Source organism: Homo sapiens, chromosome 3, assembly GCF_000001405.40.
Source record: "Homo sapiens chromosome 3, GRCh38.p14 Primary Assembly".
Lineage (NCBI taxonomy): Eukaryota > Metazoa > Chordata > Mammalia > Primates > Hominidae > Homo > Homo sapiens.
Window position 1 is genome coordinate 180,906,493 of NC_000003.12, and position 26,142 is coordinate 180,932,634.

Consider the following 26,142-nt stretch of genomic DNA (forward strand, 5'->3'; position numbering starts at 1 on the left):
TATACATATGTATAATTCTACACACACACACACACACACACACACACCCCACCATCACCACCACCACACCTAGCTAATTAAAAATTTTTTTTCTGTAGAGATGAGGGGGTCTCACTCTGTTGCCCAAGCTGGTCTCAAACTTCTGGCCTCAACTCAAGCGATCCTCCTGAAGAGCTGGGATTACAGGGGTAAGCCACCATGCCAAGCCTGAAATTTTTTTTTCCTTGAGACAGAGTTTTGCTGTCATTGCCCAGGCTGGAGTGTAATAGCGTGATCTCGGCTCACCGCCACCTCTGCCTCACGGGTTCAAGTGATTCTCAAGCCTCAGCCTCTCGAGTAGCTGGGATTACAGGTATGTGCCACCATGCCCGGCTAATTTTTGTATTATTAGCAGAGACGGGGTTTCTCCATGTTGGTCAGGCTGGTCTCGAACTCCTGACCTCAGATGATCCACCTGCCTTGGCCTCCCAAAGTGCTGGGATTACAGGTGTGAGCCACCGGGCCCGGACGATATTTTCAATATTTATAAAATCAGGCACAATTAGTTCTAGAAACTGTTGGTTGAGAAATTAAAAGTTATTTTATATTTCCTAATTTTTTGTTTCTTGAGAAAGGATAATTATCGTCTCAATTTAGAAAAGTTAAAATTGGCCGGGCACGGTGGCTTACGCCTGTAATCCCAGAACTTTGGGAGGCCGAGGCAGGCAGATCATGAGGTCAGGAGATCGAGACCATCCTGGCCAACATGGTTAAACTTCGTCTCTACTAAAAGTACAAAAATTAGCTGGGTGTGGTGGCTCGCACCTGTAATCCCAGCTACTCAGGAGGCTGAGGCAGGAGAATGGCTTGAACCTGTGAGTCAGAGATTGCAGTGAGCCCAGATTGTGCCACTGCACTCCATCCTGGCAACAGAGAGAGACTCCGTCTCAAAAAAAAAAATAATAATAACAATCAAATAAAAGTTAAAATTAATTTCAAGGCTGGGCACAGTGGCTCACACGTCATCCCAGCACTTTGAGAGGCCGAAGTGGTTGGATCACCTGAGGTCAGGAGTTCGAGACCAGCCTGACCAACATGGACAAATCCTGTTTCTACTAAAAGTACGAAATTAGCTGGGCGTGGTGGCGCATGCCTGTAATCCCAGCTACTCGGGAGGCTGAGGCAGGAGAATCGCTTAAACCCAGGAGGCAGAGTTTGCGGTGAGCCAAGATTGTGCCACTGCACTCCAACCTGGGTGACAAGAGCGAAACTCCATCTCAAATTAAAAATAATAATAATAATAATTAATTTCAAGTGAAATACTTTAAGGAGATTTAAAATGATAGCACGTTTCAATATCACATTAAGACAATTCAAGCTAAAAATAGTGCCACAAAATTGATCGAAACCTTAATCTTAATAAGTGTTCCAGTAGCTGTGTATACAAGGTTTCAATCTGCATTTACTTTTATTTTAAAAAAGTATTTTCCTTTTTGGAGTGCCGTGGCACAATCTCGGCTCACTGCAGCCTCCGGGTTCAAGTGATTCTCCTGCCTCAGCCTCCTGAGTAGCAGGGATTACAGGCGCCCACCACCACGTCTGGCTAATTTTTTTGTATTTTTAGTAGAGAAGAGGTTTCACCATGTTGGCCAGGCTGGTCTTGAACTCCTGACCTCAAGTGATCTGCCCACCTAGGCCTCCTAAAGTGCTAGGAATATAGCATGTAACCCAGGAGGCAGAGGCTGCAGTGAGCCAAGATCGGGCCACTGCACTCCAGCCTGAGCAACAAAGTGAGACTCTGTCTCAAAAAAAAAAAAAGGAAAAAGAAATAGTACTGCTTTTCAATACAGAAAACTTGGAAAATATAGAAACTCACAAAGAAGGCAGGGCATGGTAGCTTATGCCTCTAATCCCAGGACATTAGGAGGCCCAGGCAGGAGGATTGCTTGAGCCCAGGAGTCCAGGGTTGGCCTGGTTAACACAGCGAGACCCCAATCCCTATTTAAACATACATACACACACACACACACACACACACACACACACACACGCACACACACAGAAAGAGAGACAGAGAAATAAACATTCATGATGCCACTACCCTAAGAGAACCACTGTTAGCATTTTGGTAAAGTCTTTGTAATACATTTTCATGCAATATACATATATGTATCCTGTACAAAATTGGTTGCATATATAAGCTGCTTTTTACAGTTATAGACATCTTCTCATATCAGTAGATAGTCTTCTATAATTTCATTGCTAGTGGCTGTAGAAGATTCCATGGTATAGTATTTAAAAATGAAAATATCTTTTTTTTTTTGAGACAGTGTATTGCTCTGTTGCCCTGGCTGGAATGCAGTGGTGCAAACACAGCTCACTGCAGCCTCGACCTCCAGGCTCAAGCAATCCTCCTGCCTCAGCCTCCTGAGTAGCCTGGACTACAGGTGCACACCACCACGCCCTGCTAACTTTTGTCGCTTTTGTAGAGACGAGCTCTCATTATGTTGCCCAGCCTGGCTTTAAACTCCTGGCCTCAAGTGATCCCCCTGCCTTGACCTTCCAAAGTGCTGGAATTAAAGGTATGAGCCACTGTGCCCAGCCAAAAAGAACTTTTTTTTTTTTGATCAGGTAACATGCTCATTGTGAAAAATTCAGATGAGGCAAAAAATATAGACATTATATAGTTTACGTAAATCATTAGCCCATCTTCTGGAAATATCCTCTAATAATATATGGAAATATTAACTTTCAGACTTTATATATGTATATACACACTGCATATATATTTTAATATGATTATGTATGGTGTTTTGTGACATTCTTTAAAGTGAACATCTTTTTATGATGATGAAAATAGATCTACATCAAAATTTTAAAGTTTGTGTAATGTCCCATTTTGAATATTATATGGAGGCTGCAAACAGTCATTGATGTGGCACTGGAAATGGAAAGTAAGAGGGCTCAAATCGTAGTTCTGACACTTACAGCTTGTCTGATCTTACATGTGTTACTGGTTGCTATAGGGCTCAGTTGCTTAATTGAAATCACGAAGTCTACCTAGAAGAAGTAGTAAAGTGTTGGCTGGGTTCCAAATTCAAATGTTTTCGCTATGCAAGGCCTGAAGAGGGACAATACTTATTCTTTAGAGTTCAGGCAGTATGAGATGCTTTGGCCTGTGCCCAAGTGGAACTTTCGCATCCATACTCAAAATCACTCACATTGAGAACAAACAAAAAATACACTGAAAGCCAAAACAGAGAGAGAGAGAGGAGAGAAGAGAGAAGAGAAAAGGAAGAGAAGGGAGGGGAGGGGAGGACAGGAAAGGAGAGGGGAACCCATAAAGAAAAGCACACTGGGACCCTCATACACTGTTGGTGGGAATGCAAATAATGCAGCCACTTTGGAAAAGTCTGGCAATTCCTCAAAAGGTTTAAACATGGAGTTATCACGAGTCAGCAATTCCATTTCTAGCTATATACCCAAGAGAAACAAAAACATACATCTGTCTATACCAAAACATATACAGCAATTTTCATAGCAGCATTATTCCTAACAGCCAAAAAGTAGAAACAAAGCAAACTTCTATCAATTGATGAATTAATAAATAAAATGATGTGGTATATCCATACAACAGTATATTTGACAAAAAGGAATGAGTAGTAATACATTCTACAACATGGATGAAACTATAATACATTATACTAAATGAAAGAAGCCAATCATAGGCCAGGTGCAGTGGCTTACATTTGTAATCCTAGCACTCTGGGAGGCTGAGGCGGAGGCAGTGGATAACTTGAGCTTAGGAGTTCGAGACCAGCCTGGGCAACATGGTGAAACCCCATCTCTACAAAAAATACAAAGATTAGGCTAGGCGGGCGTGGTGGGTGGTGTCTGTACTCCCAGCTACTTGTGGGGCAGGGGGTTGAGGCGGGAGAATCACTTTAGTCCAGGAGGTGGAGGTTGTGGTGAGTGGAGATCAAGCCACTGCACTCCAGCCTGGGCAACAGAGTGAGACTCTGTCTCAAAAAAAAAAAAAAAGGAAAAAGAAAAAAGAAAGCCAGTCATAAAACAACACATATTCCGCGATTTCATTTATATTAAATATCTAGACTAGGCCAATCTATATAGGTAGAAAACAGGATAGTGATTTCCTAGGGCCTGGGGAGCTGGGGTTAAATCTAGAGTGAACGCTAACAGGTATGGGGTTATTTTTGCAGTGATGAAAATGTTCTAAAATTGACTGTGGTGATGGTTGCACAAATCTGTGAATATACTAAAAACTACTGAATTGTACATTATAAATGGGAGAATTATATCTAAAGAAAACTTTTTAAGAAAGCAAATGGGACATTATAATTCTGAAGGATCACAATGAGATACAATATAGAGTGTTAGCATAAGGTGCCCTTAATAAATGGTGGCTATTACTCATTGATGGGCATTTAGTTGTTTACATTTTTCTCATGATGATCAACACTTTAAAAAGAACATCCCAGCCCAGTGTGGGATGGCCAAGAGTTCAAGGTTACAGTGAGCTATGATTGTGCCACTGCACTTCAGCCTTGGCGATAGAGATCCTGTCTTAAAAAAAAAAAAAAAAATAGGCCGGGAGTGAATACATAGGCTGGGCACGGTGGCTCATGCCTGCAATCCCGAGGCAGGCAGATCATGAGGTCAGGAGTTCCAGACCAGCCTGGCCAACATGGTGAAACCCCATCTCTACTAAAAACACAAAAAGATTATCTGGGTGTGGTGGTGCGCGCCTGTAATCCCAACTACTCCGGAGGCTGAGGCAGGAGAATCACTTGAACCAGCAGGCGGAGGTTGCAGTGAGCTGAGATCTCATCACTGCACTCCAGCCTGGGCGATAGAGCGAGATTGTCTAAAAAAATAATAATAAATAAAATAAAATAAAATAAAATAAATATTGTAGTCCTAGCTACTCGGGAGGCTGAGGTGGCAGCATCACCTGAGCCTGGGAAGTCCAGGCTGCCACGTAATCACGCCACTGCACTCCATCTTGGGTAACAGAGTGAGACCCTGTCTCTAAATAAATAAATAAATAGAATATCCTGTACATAACAACAGTGAGCACTTTCACAGCCCTCATTTTTTCCCAGAATCTTCAGAGATGCAGACGTGCTCATAAAATGTTGTGTACATTTTATTTTTTTAGAATCTGAAAAACTGGGTCAGTGGGCGTTTCATGGGAAGTATAGAATGTTAGCAAAGTATCCTTTCTTAAGTTTTTCTGCGAAAACGGTAATAATGTAAGTATAACAAGGAGCACTTATAGTATTATTTTCCAAAGCCCTTGCTTAGGGAAGGAGCTTCAGTATTAAGTTGTTAAAATCCATACCCAAAGTATTTGTTATGCTTACAAAACTGGAGATGGTTCTGCTTTGATCCTATTTGCGGAAATTTGCATGCATTTAACAGAGGAAAACGTGGTCTCCTGCTCTATTAAGTTTGTCTGACTACTTTTAATAAGGCGAATTCACCTAAACTCTGTTCTAGGGTGTGAACACAATTACTTGCCCTGAAAATACTCAGTTTGACTTTTAAAGAGCTAAAGTGGTAACAGGTGGGGAGAGGGCTAGGCCAAATTGTTTGAGGGGGTGTGGAACTGTGGAATTTGAGTGAAGAGAAGGCCCAACTTTTTTTAAAAAAAGAGCGGGGCGAAATAACTTGGGGCACAACAGTATGTCTATTTTGTAGGCATCCCTCTTCCCCAGGGCAACTGGAGCCCAAAAAGTGGGTGAGAAAGCCATTCCAGGGCAGCCAGCACTTCCAGAAGTTTAAGGTCAGGATGCCGGAGCTCAGGGGAATGCCGATGCGCCGGGCAGGCTGTGCCTGGGCAGTTCATTCTGTGGCAGCTGGAGGCACTACTCGGCCGCCGCGGTGCGAACTGCGGGCACTGTGGGGCGGAGACCTAGGGGCGGGTCAACAAAGGTCGGGCGATTGTGTCTGGAGGCAAATCCGACGTAGACGGCGGCAGGCGGAGCCCAAAGCCGGTGATGCAGGGTGCGCAGGGATCCCACCTGGAGAGTCGGGGCGGCACGTTGAGACCCCAGGGGTGAAGGGCGGGGGATCCCAATCCCAGCCCTGTTTTCCCCTCCCCTTTCCCCGCCTCCTTCTCGCCCCTCCCCCCTCCTCCCCTCTGGTTGGAAAGTTTCTAGAATCTCTTCCCAGCGGCCTTTGCGGTTCCAACATGGCGGAGCTGACGGTGGAGGTTCGCGGCTCTAACGGGGCTTTCTACAAGGTACTGACCGTTTTGCCACTTTGTCGAGTGTTCTGGGTGCTGGAGCGCGTTTGAGGGAGGGTTGGTGGTCCCAGAGAGTGAGGTTTGGGGTCGGAAAGGCAGCCAGGCCAAAGCTCGAGGCCGCTGGATTCCTTGCTTCTCCCCCCTCCACCCGCGGTTTAACGGTCTCGGGGGCCGGGGCTCCGTTATGTTTTGAAACAACACGTCGGACACCTCTTGCATTTTCCTAGTTATGAACCCTCTTGGTTGCTAGTGCGGTTCTTGGCGGGCCGGTGGGAAGCAACTGAGTGGCTGCTGGGCGGCGGGAGCTCCTTCGGAGCAGGCCCGAGCTCTGGGAGGTGGGGGAGTCGTGAAAGGAGGCGGTGGGATTGTGTGGTCTCACCCGCTCCCCCGCCCCTCGAACTGGGCCGGGCGGGAGCTCCTCAGCCCGCTCCTCCGACCCCTCCCCACCCCTTGGGGCGGGTGTATCGCGGAATCTTTGGAATTCACCCTTGTATTTGAGTTTTGGGCCAACAAATCTTTAGTGTCTGAGGAGAATGGGGGTACCGGATTGAGGGTTAGGATCAAATACAGAAAAGCAGAAAACCTTGAATTGTGGCGGGTTGGAATATTTTTGCGGCCTGGGAAATTGGGCGGCGCCTTAGCCCCTCTATTACGGAAGAAAAGGAGAGTTGTGAGCTTTAAAGTAAGATTTAAAATGCGAAATGGATCAGGGAGATAGGTGGAGAGGTGACTAATTTCTTTATATCACTGCCCCTGTTTTTGGAGGGAGGTTTTGTTTTGTTTTGTTTTTTCTCCCACGAGGTTTTTTGTTTGTTTGCTTGGGAGGAAGGACATCCATTACTATGGAATCGGGGCTGAAAAACGTAAGAGGAATAGAGTAGAGGAATTTGGTGGGGCATTCAGCGTTCACATATCTGAAAATGAAATCCTAATAGTTTATTTTTTGCCACTATAGCGTTCTTTTCTCCTTATTTTCCCGAAATACGCCAGGTTGTTAGAAGATCAATACAGAATCTCCCCAGCTGTTGTCTGTCAGTCAATCTCACTAAGCCAGCATCTCAAATGTTTGAGAGTCTTGGCTATTTTTATGAAGGGCCTTCTTCTAATACATGAGTATTGTGCGTATGCAAAGTGAATTCTCACAGGTTTTCATTTCAGCGTACCTTTTATCCTATGGGTTTTTATTTTATTTGGCCACGATTTTCTATTTTCAGCATTTTGATTTTCTTTTCTTAGTTTACTGATTAGCTCTGTGGATTTGGTTTAACTGTCACGTGGTACCAGCATAATGGGGAATCACAGCGTATAAAGGATCCCCCTAAGCTTTTTGCAAGTTTAAATCTCCTTAGGTGGTAAACTTAAAGTAGGAACAGTGCCTGTTGGAAATGAGACTTTATGTTAATGCGTGAGTAGTTAACATTGACGTTCTCGGTTTAAGACTTGATGTCAGACCAATGACCTAGGTGAAATTTGAGTACATAGTTAATTGACTTTTGTTGTTATTGAAACCTGGTGGTTGCTTTCCCTGGACTACTGCAGATACAGTTCGCTGGGTAAGACGGCGAAAAGAATAGACTTATCTATGTTTTTCCTATCAATTGTAGATAAGTCGTTTTGCATCACCCCCCACCCCTTTCCCGAAAAGTTTTAAATTCTCACTATTTGGCCCTGTAGTTCTTGTATAAGGGAGGTATGCATTTTTTCTTGCATATTGGAAAAAATAAAGTGATTATTTTGCTTTATTTCATGGTTCTGCATCATGCATGTGGTAGACAACTATTTTTAGCAAAGTATATTTGTCAATAGCCTGCTATGCAAGATATTTTTTCCTTTTTTTAATAAGGTGAAGGTAATTTTAGTAAAGATTGTTTGCAGTCTTACTTTGGTTTCTCACGGTATTTTTTTTTTCCAGTCAATTCACAATGAATCAAATGTCCCCATTTTGGAACTCTGAAGTATTTATAATTGATCTCTATACATATCTACAATCTACTGCTTGTTTCTACTTAGACTTTGACTCCATTACTCATTTTGCCTCACAAAGTGAGTTGGTACTTTGACAAAGGTTGGAAAGGACACTAGCCACCTGTGTGTGCACTGAAATCATGTACGCTTGAACATTTGGAATTTTATGTCCAGCCATAATCCACTTGCATATGCACTTTGTGGAAACTGTGGTCTTCAGAACTCTGGAAGAATGAGAATGGCGGAGTGGAAAAGAGTCCTGGATTTGAAGTAAACAGATGAGAATTCTAGGTCTGTACTTCACCTTACCATTATCTAACAATGGACCCCTGAACAAATCTCTCTGTCTAACATGAGGGGCTTGAAGTAGTTCTGTGATCCCCAGTATATTTTTATCCTATTAAACTGCTGACTTGAAAACCATTGGCTTATTGCACAGAAGTTTATTGCTTTTTATTCATTAGAATGTAAAAGTTAATGTTAATTTACATACAGTAAAATAAGCCTTTTTTGGTGTACGGTTATGAATCTTGATAAATGCTGACAATTATCAAGATTAACTGTCACTTTAACTGTGGTGGTGTCAGCATTTATCAAGATTCATAGCCCCCAAATTTCCGTCATGCCCTTTTCAGTCAACCATTCCTCAACCCCAGCTTCTAGAGTGTTTTCTGTCCCCATAGTTTTTCTTATTCAGAACGTTACGTATATAGAATCGTACACTATATTGTGTAGTGTTTTGAGTCCGGCTTCCATTTAGCGTAGAAGCAATTTAATTTTAATTAGTTTTTTTCCAATTTAGAAGATAATACATGGTCACTGAGGTAATTTTGGAACTCAGCAAAAACTAGAAGTTGCCTTGAGATGAGAGCTGTTAACATTTTAGTGTATTTCTTTGGTTTTTTTTGGTGGTTTTTCAATGTACAGGTGATCTGAATTTCCCTTTTTTCCCCTCCTCTTACCCCGTATAGGCAGAAGACACACATTTGGCCGTAAGTGTGAATTGCCATTGATGAGTTTCAAAGTCAGTTATCATGCCTTGAGGCAGTACTCTGTAGACTTTGATTAAAGTTTTTGTAGTAGAACTGAAACTTCATTTCACAAATTAATTGGAACCAGTGAAACGCTGAAGATCTGAATATTTTACCTAAAATTAGGGTAGCCTTTAAAAAATAGTATGTACACAAATGGTGGCATGCTAAATACATTGTTCTGCATTTAACAGTGGCTCTATAGTTAGAGATATTAGAAACTTGATTTGTGCATGTTCGTAGCCCTATAAATCTGCGGGGATGAGAGAGAATGGGAAGATGTTAATTAAGCATTTGTTGGTGGGCTATGCTGTTATATAAAATAACATTATAGGCTTTGTACTTTTGTACTTCTCATACCTAAAGTAGCATCTTAGGTTTTATACTACTGGACATTTAAGGTGTCTTGAAAAAGAAAGTTTTAATGAGGTAGAATGTATATTCTATAAAACAACCTTTTTTAAGTGTACAGTTGAATGACAGTGTATTTACAGAGTTGTGTAACCACCGCCACAGTCTTCCTTCAGAACGTTCCATTACCCCACAGAAACCTCCGGCTCATTTGCATCATTAAAGTGCTTTTTAACTGATGTATAAATATATATTAGTCTTTGTAATAGCATTGCAATTTGTATGGCCTTGGGCTGAGTATAATTTCATTTTATTTTTATTTTTTGAGACAGAATCTTGCTCTTTTGCCCGGGTGGGAGCACAGTGGTGGGAGCGCAGTGGTGCGATCTCGGCTCACTGCAACCTCCACCTCCCAGGTTCAAGTGATTCTCCTGCCTCAGCCTCCCAGGTAGCTGGGACAACAGGCATGTGCTAACATGGCCGGCTAATTTTTGTATTTTTAGTAGAGACGGGGTTTTACTGTGTAGGCCAGGCTGGCCTCGAACTCCTGACGTCAAATGATCGCCCTCCTCGGCCTCCCAAAGTGCTGGGATTACAGGTGTGAGCCACCACGCCCGACCATGAGTATAATTTTAAATAGAAGTTGGAAGTAAGTCACTCAGTTTCTGGCTCATAGGAAAGTTTCCATGATGTTCGAAGGGAACCTGTAAGCTCTGAGATTTCAGTCACTTTCTGCAGAAGGTAGAGTTACATTTTTTTGTTTTCTTGAGACGGAGTCTTGCTCTGTCACCAGGCTGGAGTGCAGTGGTGCAATCTTGGCTGGCTGCAACCTCTGACTCAGTGGTTCAAGCGATTCTCCTGCCTCAGCCTCCTGAGTAGCTGGTATTTCAGGGACGCACCACCACGCCCAGCTAATTTTTTGTATTTTTAGTAGAGACGGAGTTTCACCATGTTGGCCAGGATGTTCTCGATCTCCAGGATGGCCTCCATCTGTCCGCCTCGGCGTCCCAAGGTGCTGGGAATACAGGCGTGAGCCACCGCGCCTGGCCAGAGTTAATTACTTTTAGAGCTGTCTGCTTCCACCGTGTAACTGTCTACAAAACAAATCTCAAAGTACTATATTTCTATAATTCCCTGTTTAGCTTGATTTAATATTAAGTGGAATTTGAGCGTAATCTAAATTATGCATAGATATATTAATAATGATGACCAATAGAATTATAGTAAAAAGTTGCGTTCAGAGGGTATGCTGACTTTTCAAGGTTAGTACAGAATCTTGTTAGTTGGTTTCATTGTGGAGATTTGTAATTGAAAAAACGATAATTGTCTTAATATTAGGCCACCCTGTTAATTTAAAAATACATAGTTCCAGATAATTTAAAATGGTTGTTTTGCATATTTAAAAAGATAATTTTCATTAAAATGCTAAGTAATGAAGATTTAACTGGATGTCAAAATAAATGATCACAACAGCTTTTATTTTCATTCACAGATAGTTGCAAAACGTGGAGGGGAAGGAAGGCTGGGATTTTCTACTCTATCTTGCTGATGGTGATCACAGTTATTAAAAAGTCAACTTAGGCCGGGCGCCGTGGCTCATGCCTGTAATCCCAGCACTTTGTGGGGCTGAGGTGCGTGGATCACGAGGTCAGGAGTTCGAGACCAGCCTGGCCAACATAGAGAAACCCCGTCTCTACTAAAAATACAAAAATTAGCCAGGTGTGGTGGCACGCGCCTGTAGTCCCAGCTACTTGGGAAGCTGAGGTGGGAGAATCGCTTGAACCGGGGAGGCAGAGGTTGCAGTGAGCCGAGATCATGCCATTGCACTCCAGCCTGGGTGACAGAGTGAGACTCTGTCTCCAAAAAAAAAAAAAAAAAAAAAAGTCAATTTAAATGCATATATTTCTTGTAAAGTTTTGTGTTTTGTATTAGAAGAGCAACACATAATTACGAAAAATATGAAAGCAGAAAAGCACATCTTACCTATCTAGAGAGATACTGTCAAGGCCCTGGCTTTAAATACTTCCAGAAAACATTATTTTTCCGTATTTTTACTTTTATGTACCTGTTATTTTCTATGTCAGATATTTGTGTGCCTTCTGTAAGATAATAGTTTAAGATGAGAGCCTGTTCTTTACTAGATTATGTATTAAGCTTCTATATGTATTTCCTGATTTTCTTTTCCCAAGAACTCTGTGAGGTTGGTTTTATTTTTTTAATTTTTATTTTTTAGTAGAGATGGGGTCTTGCTATTTAGATCAGGCTGGTCTCAAACTCCTGGTCTCAAGCAATACTCCCATCTGGGCCTCCCAGAGTGCTGGGATTACAGGCATGAACCACTGAGTCTGGCCAGCATTAGGGATTTTTCAAAGTAACTTTTAGGATAGTGAGCTTACATTTTCATTAGGAGGAAAAGGGCAGATACTTTGCTGGATTATCACTCTGGATAAGTTCTCTATCACAGTGTTTAAGGTTGTCAAATTAGCTTTTTTGTAGTGGGAAGAGCAATATGCATTCATTCCATGATTGACCCCTAATTCTTGTAATAGTTTTTAACTGGCAGGATCATCCAGGTAAACACCTTGGTTTTTTCATATGCAGTATGAAGCAGTTGTATTTCCTTTAACCTATTTATAAGTTGTGAAATCTTTGCTAGTTTCTGTTGATGGCAGTCCCATCTACCTCTAGCAACTGTAACTAATTTTCATTGAGTACCCAGACTACTTACCAGACTTTGTAGGTGCCTTACTCGAATTTCCCATTTAATCCTTTCAACCACAGTGAAGTAGATAACTCCACTATTTGAGAATACTGAGGCTAAGTGAATCCAGGTCTGTAAAGTTAGATGCTGATTCAAGATTCAGACTCTAAAGTTTGACACCACAGAACCAATTTCTTTAACCATTATGGTGCAATATTTTTTGAAGTACAAATGTTTTGCCACATTATTACTAATTTTGAATTGTTACTAATATGAGGAGAATTATGAGGAATAAATTGGGAGGTTCCCAGAGAAATGATTTGAGCTATGCCTTTGCTTTAGACAAATCTGCTTTCTAATATAGTAGCCACCAGCCATGGAGCTGAAATGTACTAGTCTGAATTGAGACATGCTTTAAATGTAAAATACAAATTGGGTTTCAAAGCCTTAGAATTAAAAAAAAATGTGAAACACCTAAATTTTATTTTTTTTTTATTTTTGTTTTTTTTTTTTTTGAGCCAGAGTCTTGCTCTGTTGCCCAGGCTGGAGTGCAGTGGCACTATCTCGGGTCATTGCAACTTCCGCCTCCTGGGTTCACGTGATTCTCATGCCTGAGCCACCCGAGTAGCTGGGATTATAGCTGTGTGCCTCCACGCCCAGGCAATTTTTGTATTTTTAGTAGAGACAGGGTTTCACCATGTTGGCCGGCTGGTTTCGAACTCCTAACCTCAAATGTTCCACCTGGCTCAGCCTCCCAAAGTGCTGGGATTACAGGCGTGAGCCACTGCGCCGGGCCAATAATTTTTTACATTGATTACATGTTGGATAATATTTTAGGTATATTAGGTTAAATAATATTGAAATTAATATTATCTATTTCTTTTCATGCATTTTGTTTTATTTTGAGATGGAGTCTTGCTCTGTTGCCCAGACTGGAGTGCAGTGGCGCAATCTCAGCTCACTGCAACCTCTGCCTCCCGGGTTCAAGCAATTCTCCCGTCTCAGCCTCCTGAATAGCTGGGACTAAAGGTGCCAGCCACCACGCCCGGCTGATTTTTGTATTAGAGATGGGGTTTCACCATATTGGCCAGGCTGGTCCCAAACTGCTGACCTTATGATCTTCCTGCCTCAGCCTCCCAAAGTGCTGGGATTACAGGCATGAGCCACTACCTCCTTCTTTTAATCAAGATAATTTATGCTATCAGTGTATTTAACTTGCCTGCCATTCTCTATCTTCAGCGTTTTTTGCTGTCTATTTTGGGAAGATGAACAGAGGTCTCCATTAGTAAAATAGCTGATGAAGTTTATTATTGTTGGCAAAGGGATGCGCTCCCGTGTTGAGATTTCTTCAGATCAGGAGCCTCAGAGGCTCCTGAATTCCTTTCTTAATCTACATAATTAATCATAGGTAGCTGTTTTTGGTTCCCTTTTCATGTAACCTTTTTGTTTTTACAGTTTTTCAGGTTATTTTCAAGTCTTAAATTTTGTTGATATATGTACTTAGTTCATAGTAAGCCCTCAGTGTATATTTGTTGAATGATGTGTAATCTTAGTAACTGCTAACTTCATCATTTCTGATTTTGGTTCAAACTGAATTTAAATGATTTTTTTAAAGAAGTTATGTTTTGATCTTGGTCAAGTTCAGATATTGTCACAAAACTTTATGCATGCATAGAGGGAACTGTATAGAACTTAAACTCTGCAACGAGAAAGTCAGAATAGTTTTGTTCTTTTTTTTTTTTTTTTTTGAGTCTAGCTCTGTTGCCCAGGTTGGAGTGCAGTGGCACAATCTTGGCTCACTGCAACCTCTGCCTCTTAGGTTCAGGCGATTCTTGTGCCTCAGTAATTATTGTAGCTGAGATTACAGCCATGCACCACCACGCCCGGCTAATTTTGTATTTTTAGTAGAGATGGCGATTTGCCGTGTTGACTAGGCTGACCTTGAGCTCCTGATCTCAGGTGATCTGCCTGCCTCAGCCTCCCAAAGTGCTAGGATTACAGGTGTGAGCCACCATGCCCGGCCCAGAATAGTTTTGGGTGGCCATTTGGAACTGTTAACTTATTCCATTTCAAAGAGAACTGTTAGATAATACATACAAATGGGTGAACCTAACAAGCCAAGAACATTACTGGTATGTAAACAGTAGTAGTAGACACTTGTGTATTCTTAAAGAAATCTTCACATCCTCATTGTCCTTTTTCTTTTTTCAAACTCAGAACAGTTACATGCTCAATACTAATGAATGCTGAATGCTTGCCTTGAATAATTTTTTTTTCTTATTAGAGCTTACTCCATAATTGGCTGGGCGTGCTGGCTCTTGACTGTAATCCCAGCACTTTGGGAGGCTGAGGCGGGTGGATCACTTGAGGGCAGGAGTTCGAGACCAGCCCGGCCAACATGGTGAAACCATCTCCACTAAAAACACAAAAATTAGCAGGGCATGGTGGCTGGTGCCTGTAATCCCAGCTATTCTGGAGGCTGAGGCAGGAGAATCCCTTGAACCCAGGGTGGGGGTGTGTGTGGAGGTTGCAGTGAGCCAAGATCACGCCACTGCACTCCAGCCTGGGCAACAGAAACTCCATCTAAAAAAAAAAAAAAAAACTTGTAATAATTATTGTAATGTATAATGTAATTGGTAAATTTGCAGACTTTTTGAATTTGTGGAACAAGTATCTAGTGATTTGGAATAATTTTACTTTGTAGATTTAGTTGCGTAGATCTTTTTAAAAAGTATATTGTTTGAAGTTAAGACATTTTTTTGATTGCAGTAGCAGCCTTGACTATTTGGTACTTGTTGGAATCAAATTACAACTTAGATCTTTTAGTTGTGGTAAGCATCTTATAAGTTTATATCTTATAAATTTGAGATCCCTAGAGATGGAAAAATTAGAAGTGGGGAGTGGTGATGCACATACGTGCTGTATGGAAAACGTGTTGGCTGACAATAAGATATATTCTAATTCTTAAAAGTATACGTTTACATAGACACGTGTATAATTTTACACACACGTAAGTATGATATAAAAACTTAGTCTGTTGTATTTTTTTTTCCCCTGGTTGCTCTTCACCACCTGGGTCTCTCACCTCCGCCTCCATATTAGGTAACCTTTGTTTGTAGCACATATACGTGGTTCCATATATTTCACTATGCTCGTAGAATTGTATATAGGTACGCATTCAGTTACAAGTATAGGGTTTTTCAGTATTACTGTATAAAAATAGGATCATCCACATCTTAACTATTTTCATGTGGAGTATGATTTATTTTTTAAGGTTATATAATCATAACAATGTATTAAATTCAGCCATTCCCCAGTTAATAGACATACACTTTGTTTTCAGTTTTTTGTCGCTCCACATAACTATTTCCATTGGATAGATATCAAAGAATGGGATAGCTTGGTGAAAGGGAACCTTTAAAAAAACAAAAAACTGTAATAAATGTTGAAAGATTGCTTTCCAAAAAGGCTTCTGATGCTTCCTGTGTTCTCCATCAATAATAAATGGCAGCTTTTTCTTTTTATCTGGGCCAGAAGTTGGCTTTATGATCTTTAATTTTTGCCAGTCTGTTGGATGTAAAGGGATATCTCATTGGAACTTGATCCCAGTTGTGAATTTTAATGTTGTTTGCCATTTGAACTTGTTCTTTTAAGACTTGCCTTTGTTTGCCATTTGATTTTGTTTTTCTAAGAATTGCCTGTCTTTTGCCCATTTTTTTGTTGGGGTGTCCTTTGTCAGTTTTGAAAATCTTTCTGTATTATGGATATTAAGCCTCTGACCTGATGTAAGAGTGTCCACTCTCCCACCTATTTATTTAGGTTATTAATTTTGAGATAGGATCTCAAAATAAATAATACTGTGTCACCCAGGTTGCAGTGCAGTGATAGGATCATGGCTCATTGCAGTCTTGACCTTCCAGGTTCAAGCGATCCTCCTGCCTCAGCCTCTGGAGTATCTGAGACTACAGACATGTGCCACCATGCCCAGCTAATTTAAAAAAATTTTCTGTAGAGATAGGTCTTGTTATGTTGCCCAGGCTGGCCTCCAACTCCTGGACTCAAGTGATCTTCCTGCCTCGGCCTCCCAAAGTGCTGGGATTACAGGTGTGAGCCACACTGTGCCCTGCCTCCCCATCCTTTTAACTTCTTTTCTTATATTGCTGGTCATAGTGAGATTTTAGTTTTTAACATAATTTTTTTTTTCCATTAAGGCTTCTGGGTTTCCAGTCCTGGTTAAGACAGTCTGTGCCCAGATTATACATACAATTTCTTAGGTTACTTTGGAGTTTTATTTTTACATTTAAATAGTACGTTAATATTTTTGCATATTTGTATGTATAGGCAGTTATGCTAGTGCCATGTATTAATCATCTCTGTTTGAAAGTTGTTTTTCTTGCATGTGTGTCTCTCCTTAGCTGTATCTCCCTCACTTCTAGGATTGGGATGAGAGGTTGATGCTCAGCATCCTGGAGGGCTGGATCCCATTCCAGATTGATAGACCCTCCTGAGAATTACTCCAAAGAGTCTGGGGTGTCCTGGGAATACCATACAGAGATCTCGAGAAGGGAACATTGTGATTTGCTTTTTGGCAAATAAGGCCAGTTAGGGATCTTATTTTCCTTACATTACTGTCTTGGATCCTCTCTTGTTATACACAGTAAGTAGTGGGATCTGAGACCTTACAGTGAAACCACTGTATTGTAGTGCCTTCATTTAGTGAGGCTTTTTTTTTTCCTTGCCCTGATAAGGAGCCCTTTATATAATCTGTTAACTATGTAGACAGTCCAGAAACTTTATTATGAATCTTTTAAATTACTTTACTTATCATAAAAGCTCCAGGAAGATTTACCATGGTAGTTGTGGGGAGGGAGTAGCTTTAAGTACTCCTAGCACATCTTTGAGTGTCAGGGAGTACCCCAGTTTAAGAATCTTCACCTCCTTTATTTTGCAAATAGAGAAATTGTTGTTTCAGGAGACCGGTCTGTTGATCTGTCTCCCTATGTTGCCCAGGCTGGCTGGCCTCGAACTACTAGGCTCAAGTGATCTTCCCCGCTCAGTCTCCTGAGTGGGTTGGGATTACAGACCCTCAGGCATCCTTCTTGAGAACTTTAAAGTTGCCTAGATAACGATGATCACCCAGATCTGGGAGACAAGTCAGACTTTTGCAGCTTGAGTTTCTGTTTTTTTTTGAGACAGAGTCTTGCTCTGTCGCCCAGGCTGGAGTGCAGTGGCGTGGTCTTGGCCCACTGAAACCTCTGCCTCTCGGGTTCAAGTGATTCTCCTCCCTCAGGCTCCCAGGTAGCTGGGACTTCAGGTGTGTACCACCATGCCGAGCTAATTTTTGCATTTTTAGTAGAGATAGGGTTTCGCCATGTTGGCCTCGAACTCCTGACCTCAGGTGATCTGCCTGCCTCGACCTCCCAAAGTGCTGGGATTACAGGTGTGAGCTGTCGTGCCCAGCCTTCAGCCCGAGTTTCTTATCTGAACTATAAAGCACAGAAACACAGTTTCTCAGTTCTGGTGATGGCACATAGGTCGTAGTACCATTCTAGATATATGTGAGAGAAGTTAATTCATTACACACAGCGGATGCCTTATTGCATCGGGCTGTATTCTCCTAGAATCCTGGTTAAAAAAGATTGTTTGCTGTGTTCAGTTTTCTCTTTCATTTTGAAAATCCTGTTAAATGGATCATGCTGTGTAGGGTGCAGAGCAGGACAACAGATGAGATTCTGACTGTGGACGTGTTGATTTTAGGTGTCAGTAAACTATGGGTGGAGATGTCTGAATAGTTGGAAGTTGGGTTTAGAATCAACAGAATAGATTGTTTTTCCATATATAGATTTGGGAAATTAGTGGAAGATCAACCAATTTTTGTATTTTTAGTAGAGACGGGGTTTCACCATGTTGGCCAGGTTGGTCTCAAACTCCTGACCTCAGGTGATCCACCTGCCTCGGCCTCCCAAATTGTTGGGATTACAGGCGTGAGCCACCGTGCCTGGCCTCAATGCAATTTCATTATACCTAAAACAGCATCAGTTGTCAGAGGCACTGTACCATGAAGAAAGAAGAAATGTGCCAATTAATCTGAACAATGGTTGTCTTTATTTTTTAATATTCTTATGTAGTTATTGAAAAATATCCTAACAGTCCCATACATAAAATGGGAAGTTCAAGCAAAAGAAATTCATTAAAACATATTCATATTCAGATACCTGTGTTTCTTCTCAAAATATCTTCCTCAGTGCCATGGAGAGTATTGATGTTGTAAACCTACTTTAAAAGGGCTCTCCTGGCCGGGCGCGATGGCTCACGCCTGTAATCCCAGCACTTTGGGGGCTGAGGTGGGTGGATCACGAGGTCAGGAGTTCGAGACCAGCCTGGCTAATATGGTGAAACCCTGTCTCTACTACAAATAAAAAAGTTAGCCGGGCATGGTGGCACGTGCCTCTAGTCCCAGCTACTCGGAAGGCTAAGGCAGAAGAATCGCTTGAACTGGGAGGTGGAGGTTACAGTGAGCTGATATCAGGCCATTGCACTCCGGCCTGGGCAACAGAGCGAGACTCCATCTCAAAAAAAAAAAAAAAGTACATTCCTCTGTTGTCTCCAGGATTTTCTTCCAGTAATTTTTACTCATTTTGTGAGCTTTGATCCTGGTGCTTTCTAGATTTTATCAGAAGGTGTTAACAAACAAACATTTTGATAAGAAACCGCGGTCATTCCTAAAGTGGTTCTTCGTTGGTTTGCTGACTGAAATGCTCAGGGGTTACCATCAGGTGCCACAGAAAATCGCAAGCAAACCAAGTTTGAGTACTAAAGAGTGACATTTATGTCCTGACTGACATGTGGCTATCAGCTATTCCAAGATGCCATCCATTGTAAGAAGCATCCTGATTTCAGAGATGTTAAATCATTCAAATTGATGGGCTGGAAAGGTAGACTGGGGCCAGAGTATGAATCAATAAATAAACTGATAATTGATCAAGGGATAAAAAGTGATAATAAAATCCACTGTGGCAGTTCTTGGGGAAGAAAAAACCCGAGGTACTGAATTTTGCATGAATTATGTTAGTACCTTTTTCTCATGGGCTATATATTTTGTAATCAAATTTATCCACATCAGTAATATTTAACTGATGTAGTTGGGGTAAATGGAGAGTTAACCTAGTCAGAGGAAAGACCCTTCACTATCTAACAAACAGCCCAGTGTCTCTAATAAAGAAGGATTTATTTTAATCAGTTTATCTTTAGAAATACAGTAAGTACTTTACCACAAGTTTGCATCAGGAATTAAGCCATGAACTGCACTTTTTTCTTTTTTTAACACATTTGAGAAGGCATAAAAAAAGTAATTTCTGACTGTTGTGCCAAATCTAGAGAGAAAAATAAAATGTTTAAATTTCATGCCAGCGATTCATGAGAAGAGAATTAAAAAGAAAAACAGTAGTCTTAAAGCTGGAGTGACAAACTATGTAAGAATACTTGATCAGGTTTGAGGGAAGCAGTAATGTGCGTCTGATACTTCCTTTTGCTTCCTTAAGAGAATAAATGTGAACTAGAGGTATGATTCCTGACAGGTCTCCTGCTTTACCATGAAACTTTTAATAGGTTGGAATCTTGAGACTGGAGTCATTAAAAAGTTGGGTTAAGCCAAGGGTAGTTCCTAATCTCTATTTAGGGGGATTGTACTGTATATATATATATATATATATATATATATTTTTTTTTCTGGCCTTTTGTTGGCATTAAAAAAGAAAAAAGGCAGTTTGTTTTGCAATCAGAAAACTCTTCTAAGAAGAATTTTGAAATATGAGAGTTACACTTTTAGGGTGTAAATCTTCGATTTTTTGGTTCTGGACTTGCATTTTAAAACTTCGGATTCAGGCTGTGCTGTTTCTGATTACATTTGGTAGTCTGCCAAATACTAAGGTTTTAAAGTTTCTGTTTACTCCTTTATAAAGTTTGTTTACTCCTTTATAAGGAATGTAAATTTACTGTTGTAATGAATTGAAATGGTAGGAAGGCATCAGTGGGTCTTAAAAAAAATCTAAAGTAACAGATGAATTAGTAATCATGGTTACTTTCCAGTCAAAGGAATTTTTCTAGACTAGGATGGTATATTCTTAATGGGTTTATTAGGAATGTTCCTGAAGGGACATCTGTACAGATTTCTAAGCCACAACTCAATCAAGATACCTGATCTATTGATCAGTATTTCAAACATTAAAATTTTCTTTCAGCTTGAATCCAGGTTTTGGACAAGATAATTGCCTTACCAGTTGTGAGTTAGTTTTTGATACTTTGGGAACCTTGCCTTAAATATCTTTTTATGATAGGTGCCTTATTTCCTCTGATTAACATTACTACCAGACTCAATCTTTTAGAGTTTAAAACTATATGAATTGGCAAAAGTATTTCATCATTTGGTTCGTAGTGATTTAGTGAAAAGAGCTCAAGACAGATGAGATTTTAAATTTGTACTTTTAACCTAGGGAGTGAAACTTTGGGGCTATATAAGATGTGTATTGTTTCAACTTTCCTTCTTTAAAATGAGTGCTCTTATAAAATGAGTGGTTTATAAATGATATTTTGTCTGCCCTCATACAGTGTCATTAGGTCACTGTTCCACAGCCAGGGTCCATAATACATCTGTTCAGATTTTTTGCTATATTTGTAATATTAATCTTTTAACTCCTGAAATATATTCATACCATGTTTCTTTCTGTTTAGCCTATAGGATTTTTTTTCCACAACGGCTCCTGTCAAGTTGAGAAACTTTTTGTTTTTCAGCTATATTCTGTAATTTCAAAAATATATTCATAAAGTAAGCAGATATCCTGTGTACTTTTTTCCCCCACAGGCCATTTAAGCACCCGTCTAAAAAAAAATGAGTAGATCTTCATAGTAAGGTAGGATCTACAAGACACAAACTGAAGAGAAAAGCGAAGTTCAGAACAAATTGTAGCAAATGTTTAACAATTTAAAGGAGATTTGTATATTATTAAAATTACATTTTTTCCTGTGAATTACTTGTTCACCTAGTTCATATCCATCGATACCTTTTCCATCAGCTTGTTCTTACTCACCTAAGAATATTTGAATTGGGGATTTAACCCTGTTGTATGCTGTTTCACCCTCTGCCCCCTTTTCTCCTTTGTATGTGATGCTTTTATATTTTAGCTTCTGGGTAGTATACTTTTATCAAACTTTGTGGCTTTTGGGTTTTGCTTTTTTGGTTAGAAAGGCCTTCCTTACTGCAAGTTATAGATAATTGGCTCCTGATTTCTCCTGGAATTGTTACTGATTTTTTTTTGAAGTTTGAATGTTTTATCTATTGATTTTTTTTTTTTTCTGATGAAGACATCCATTTCTGTTTTCCCCAAGAATTATTTAAATGTTCCAATACCATTTTAAAAAGAGTCCATTCCTTCCCCATTTGTAAATTCCTAAACGACTTTAGGCCTACTTTTGGAATCTGTTCTGTTCCTTTAAAATATCTTTTCCATCTTCATTATTGTAGTTTTAAAATAATCTTTAAGGTTTGGTAAGTATAGAGTGTTATTGTTCCCTCCCATCCCAGCCCCCCCACCCCATTTTAGAAGTTTCCTTTTTTAAAATTTTTTGAGATAGGCTTATTTTATTAGGTCCCCCCACCCCAAACACATACACACTGTTAATATTTCAATGGGATGCCATTGAAATTATAGGTTAATTTTAGGGGCATATTGAAATTTTTATAATATCAAGGTGTCTAAGAACATGATGGTGTTTTACATTTTCCTAAATTTTGTATTTATATTTATTAGAGCTTCAGACATTTTTTGTACATAGCTTTTGTGCATATGTCTGTTGTTGAGGACACTTGTAGGATTTATTTTTTGGTTGTTGCTGTAAGTAGAATTTTTTTGTATAAAATTTTTATTTTACAGCTGCCTGTTGTTTACATGTAGAAGGCTAATGGATTGTTAGTTAACTTGCTGCTTAAGTGGATCTTTGACTAGAACCTTTTTTTAAAAAATTGTTTTATACTAGATTGCTTTTGAAATTAGTTCTTCGGATAGTGCTTTTTCACTGCTCAAGGATTCCTTCTACTCCTTCCATCCCTACTTTCATTTTACACTTAATTTATGGCATTTTTTGTTTGTTTTTTTTTAGACAGAGTTTCACTCTTGTTGCCTAGGCTGGAGTGCAATGCGCTTTCTCGGCTCACTGCAGCCTCCACCTCCTGGGATCAAGTGATTCTCCTGCCTCAGCCTCCCAAGTAGCTGGGATTATAGTCATGCGCCACCACACCCTGCTAATGTTGTATTTTTAGTAGAGACGGGGTTTCTCCGTTTTGGTCAGGCTGGTCTTGAACTTTGCCTGCCTTGGCCTCCCAAAGTGCTGGGATTACAGGCGTGAGCCACCGCGCCCGGCCTAATTTATGGCATTTTTAGTTTTTTATTACATGATGCCTGTTTGTTTTGTCAGAGTTATGTGGGCATTTTAAGATATTTTTTTTTCCGCCTATCCATAGCAAGCTGTGAACATTTTAAGATTTTGAATACACTTCAGATGTGTTATACTGCCTGGTTATTAATGATTATCTTAAATTATAGTTAAGAGTTTCAAATGTAAACATTATTGGACTGTGCGAGTGAACAAGACAAGTGACCATTTAATAAGGATGCCTTGAAATCTTCTGTGTTTGCATATGTATGGGAAGAAGAAAAAGACATGTCAAAGGCTTTGTTCTGAGAAATATGGGACCTGAGCCAGGTGGGTGTGAATAGGAAGAGAGACAGTCGAAATCCCCAAAGATTGGATGGAGACTTAAAGGCATAAAGCCCCCTGCCATGTGCAGACAAATGTGGCTGTTATGGTGTCTCCTATCGGATTTTGGCGAAGACCCAGCCCTGTCAATTTGGGTCTCTTGAGCAGGCGGGGAGACCTACCATCATTCTGGTGGCTTGGGAATACAAAAATACATTTAAAAGTATTGACTGTGTCCTGTGTCAAGTGGACTAAATTTTAGAGAAATCTGGCCATTAGAAACACCTTTGTCTAGAATTTAGGACTTGGGGATTAGATTTTATGGAGTAGGATGTTAGAAATCGTTCACTACAGTCCAAATAGATTTTAAGGACTTGGTGTCAGGCCTTACTCTAGTAAATCTTATGGCAGAATGATACTAGCAATAAGAGTAGATGCTCAAGGGCCGGGGCGTGGTGGCTCACGCCTGTAATCCCAGCACTTTGGGAAGCCAAGGTGGGCGGATCACGAGGTCGGAGTTCGAGACCAGCCTGGCGGACATGGTGAAACCCAGTCTCTGCTAAATATACAAAAATTAGCTGGGCGTGGTGGCGTGTGCCTGTAATCCCAGCTACTTGGGAGGCTGAGGCAGGAGAAGTGCTTGAACCAGGGAGTTGGAGGTTGCGGCCAGCTGAGATTGCACCACTGCACTCCAGCCTGGCAACAGAGTGAGACTCCATCTCAAAAAAAAAAAAGAAAGTAGTTGTACAGAGCTGTGTTTTAAAGTTTGTGAAAAATGTGCACTCAAAGTTGATACTGATGTTTATGGTGGAAGCGTTTGTGGGAAAGGTGGAAGTGGTGATTTTTAGATAGAAAAAAGGTTTTTATTACAAAGGAGAGTGAGAGATTATTATAAAGGTGAGAAAGGAGTGAAAGTTCCTAGTGATTTAGAGTTCTGATTTGAACTAATCCACTATGAATTATACAGAGACTAGAAAGATTAATTTGTGAGACTTTTCAAACTTTGTGAGAGTTTGTTGAAGAACTAGAACACGTTAGTGGAGGTTGAAAATATGGCTGTCTTCTGATGGAAGAGATGCTTTACTAATATTCATAAACATGGAAATTCCCAGTTTCTGAAATTTGTTAAAAAATGGCAAGGGTATAATACAGTTATATTTGCTGGTAACATAACTGAATGTGCTGACCAAAGTGATTTTTGAAAGCGAATGTGGTCCAGGTGTGGTGGCTCATGCCTATAATCTCAGCACTTTGGGAGGCTGAGGCGAGTGGATCAGCTGAGGTCAGGAGTTCGAGACCAGCCTGGCCCACATGGCAAAACTCTGTCTCTACTAAAAATACAAAAAAATTAGCTGGGTGTGGTGGTGTAGTCCCAGCTACTGGGGAGGTTGAGGTAGGAGGATCGCTTGAGCCAGGGAGGTGGAGGTTGCTGTGAGCCCAGATAACACCACTGTACTCCAGCCTGGGCAACAGAGCGAGACTGCCTCAAAAAAAAAAAAAAAAAAAAAGACGTGAATGTGCCCTACTAGAAATAGAGAAACTGGCCAGAAAGTCATTATTATAGCATGGTCAGATAATCAGAGCCTGAACTACAGTGGCAACTCTTAATATTTAAATTTAGGGAGGATTAATTAATAAATATCTCCAGAATTGCAAGGCAGGAGCTACTATAGCAGTCTTTTTTGTTTTTTTCTTTGAGATGGAGTTTTGCTGTTGTCGCCCAGGCTGGAGTGTAGTGGTGTAGCCTCGGCTCACTGCAACCTCTGCCTCTTGGGTTCAAGCGATCCTCCTGCCTCGGCCTCCCGAGTAGCTGGGATTACAGGCAGCTGCTACCACATCTGGCTAATTTTTGCATTTTTAGAAGAGATGGAGTTTCACCATGTTGGCCAGGCTGGTCTCGAACTCCTGACCTCAGGTGATCTGCCTGCTCTGGCCTCCCAAAGTGCTGGCATTTCAGGCGTGAGTCACTGCACCGGGCCTACCATAGCAATCTTCAAGAGAAAGATATCCTGGGTTTTAGGCCTCAGTGAGGATGTTTGCATAGAAATGTCCCGTGGCACACAAATAAATGAGACAACAGGCAGTTGGAGCTGAAGAAGAGAACTGAGCCATTCCCACTGCCAGTTTATATTTTATAGTCTTAATTTGCTTAGAAAAATGTCTAACACAGAGTATGCCCTTAAAAATTAGTTGTTGTGGGTTTTTTTTTTTTTTTTTTTTGGAGATGGGGCCACTCTGTCACCCAGGCTGGAGTGCAGCAGCATGGTTATGGCTCACTGCAACCTCTGCCTCCCAGGCTCAAGTGATCCTCCCGCCTCAGCCTTCCAAGTAGCTGGGACCACAGACACGCCACCAGGCCTGGCTAATTTTTTTATATTTTTGGTAGAGATGGGATTCCACTGTCTTGCCTAGGATGGTCTCGAACTCTTGAGCTCAAGGTGTCCGCCTTTCTTGTTCTTCCAAAGTGCTGGGTGCCTGGGCTTGCTTTGTTTTTTATTACTTAAGTTACCCTTCTTCCATTTACTTTGTAAGTTTCAAAAAAAAAAAAAAACAACTTTTTTGTTGTTGTAAGTTGCCTTTTCCCTTTATTCTCTTCTTTCTTTTGGGTTTATTCCTTCAAATCTCTTTACTGTTAGTTAATGGACTTTTGGGAAGGAGTGAGATAAACAGATGTGTTCATTTTTGTCTTACTTTGACCAGGTACTATACATGTGTTTATATAGCTAGTGTGCCTTGGACATTATGGAGTCTAGTGTGATAAAGATGTTTTAGAAAAGTATTTCCTATGTACACCATGGTTGAAAGTGTGTGTAAGCATTTGACTAACATTCAGTAATTTGCAGTTCTGATTCATAGTAATATAAAGTCATTTAATGTTAATTGTAATTATATAAGTGCCAAGGACTGCTTGCCTATGGTTACACAGTGGTGGAATCAGGATTTCAGCAACAGTAATTCTACACCCAAGTCCTTTGCTCTTTCTTGAGTATGTCAGATCTTATGGTTTCTTTCAGCTGTATTAATCAAAGGAAGATAGAATAAGAAGGCTAATTTTAATAGTAATTTTAAGGCTGAAAAATGACCGCCAATTGTTA

At 40.6% G+C, this 26,142-nt stretch overlaps 1 protein-coding gene across 10 annotated transcripts in view, besides 6 other annotated features; it reads left to right on the top strand.

Annotated features, from left to right (window-relative positions):
- Positions 5,169–5,824: an enhancer, noted in NCBI's record as "H3K27ac hESC enhancer chr3:180629449-180630104 (GRCh37/hg19 assembly coordinates)". NCBI's record gives its function as "activates a minimal SCP1, AML or CMV promoter by ChIP-STARR-seq in naive H9 embryonic stem cells {active_cell/tissue: H9 hESC(naive)}" and the evidence as "EXISTENCE:reporter gene assay evidence [ECO:0000049][PMID:30033119]".
- Positions 5,640–5,789: an enhancer, noted in NCBI's record as "active region_20878". NCBI's record gives its function as "activates an Ori minimal core promoter by ATAC-STARR-seq in GM12878 lymphoblastoid cells {active_cell/tissue: GM12878}" and the evidence as "EXISTENCE:reporter gene assay evidence [ECO:0000049][PMID:35858748]".
- Positions 5,809–6,103: a silencer, noted in NCBI's record as "tiled region #7910; HepG2 Repressive DNase unmatched - State 1:Tss, and K562 Repressive DNase unmatched - State 1:Tss". NCBI's record gives its function as "represses a minimal TATA promoter and a strong SV40 promoter by Sharpr-MPRA in HepG2 and K562 cells {active_cell/tissue: HepG2 | K562}" and the evidence as "EXISTENCE:reporter gene assay evidence [ECO:0000049][PMID:27701403]".
- Positions 6,110–6,209: a silencer, noted in NCBI's record as "silent region_14927". NCBI's record gives its function as "represses an Ori minimal core promoter by ATAC-STARR-seq in GM12878 lymphoblastoid cells {active_cell/tissue: GM12878}" and the evidence as "EXISTENCE:reporter gene assay evidence [ECO:0000049][PMID:35858748]".
- The window catches only part of FXR1 (FMR1 autosomal homolog 1), a 70,084-nt gene continuing 50,119 nt past the window's right edge, over positions 6,178–26,142 (top strand). For 8 of the 10 annotated variants that reach the window (NM_001441509.1, NM_001441513.1, NM_001441510.1 and 5 more), the window contains exon 1: positions 6,178–6,244. In NM_001441509.1, the coding sequence (NP_001428438.1) occupies positions 6,194–6,244 (51 nt within the window). In that variant the 5' untranslated portion in view covers positions 6,178–6,193. Of the gene's footprint in view, positions 6,245–8,159; positions 8,504–26,142 lie in introns of all 10 variants that reach the window. The other 2 variants (NM_001013439.3, NM_001363882.1) reach the window with 2 other exon arrangements.
- Positions 6,360–6,449: an enhancer, noted in NCBI's record as "active region_20879". NCBI's record gives its function as "activates an Ori minimal core promoter by ATAC-STARR-seq in GM12878 lymphoblastoid cells {active_cell/tissue: GM12878}" and the evidence as "EXISTENCE:reporter gene assay evidence [ECO:0000049][PMID:35858748]".
- Positions 17,561–18,061: an enhancer, noted in NCBI's record as "H3K4me1 hESC enhancer chr3:180641841-180642341 (GRCh37/hg19 assembly coordinates)". NCBI's record gives its function as "activates a minimal SCP1, AML or CMV promoter by ChIP-STARR-seq in primed H9 embryonic stem cells {active_cell/tissue: H9 hESC(primed)}" and the evidence as "EXISTENCE:reporter gene assay evidence [ECO:0000049][PMID:30033119]".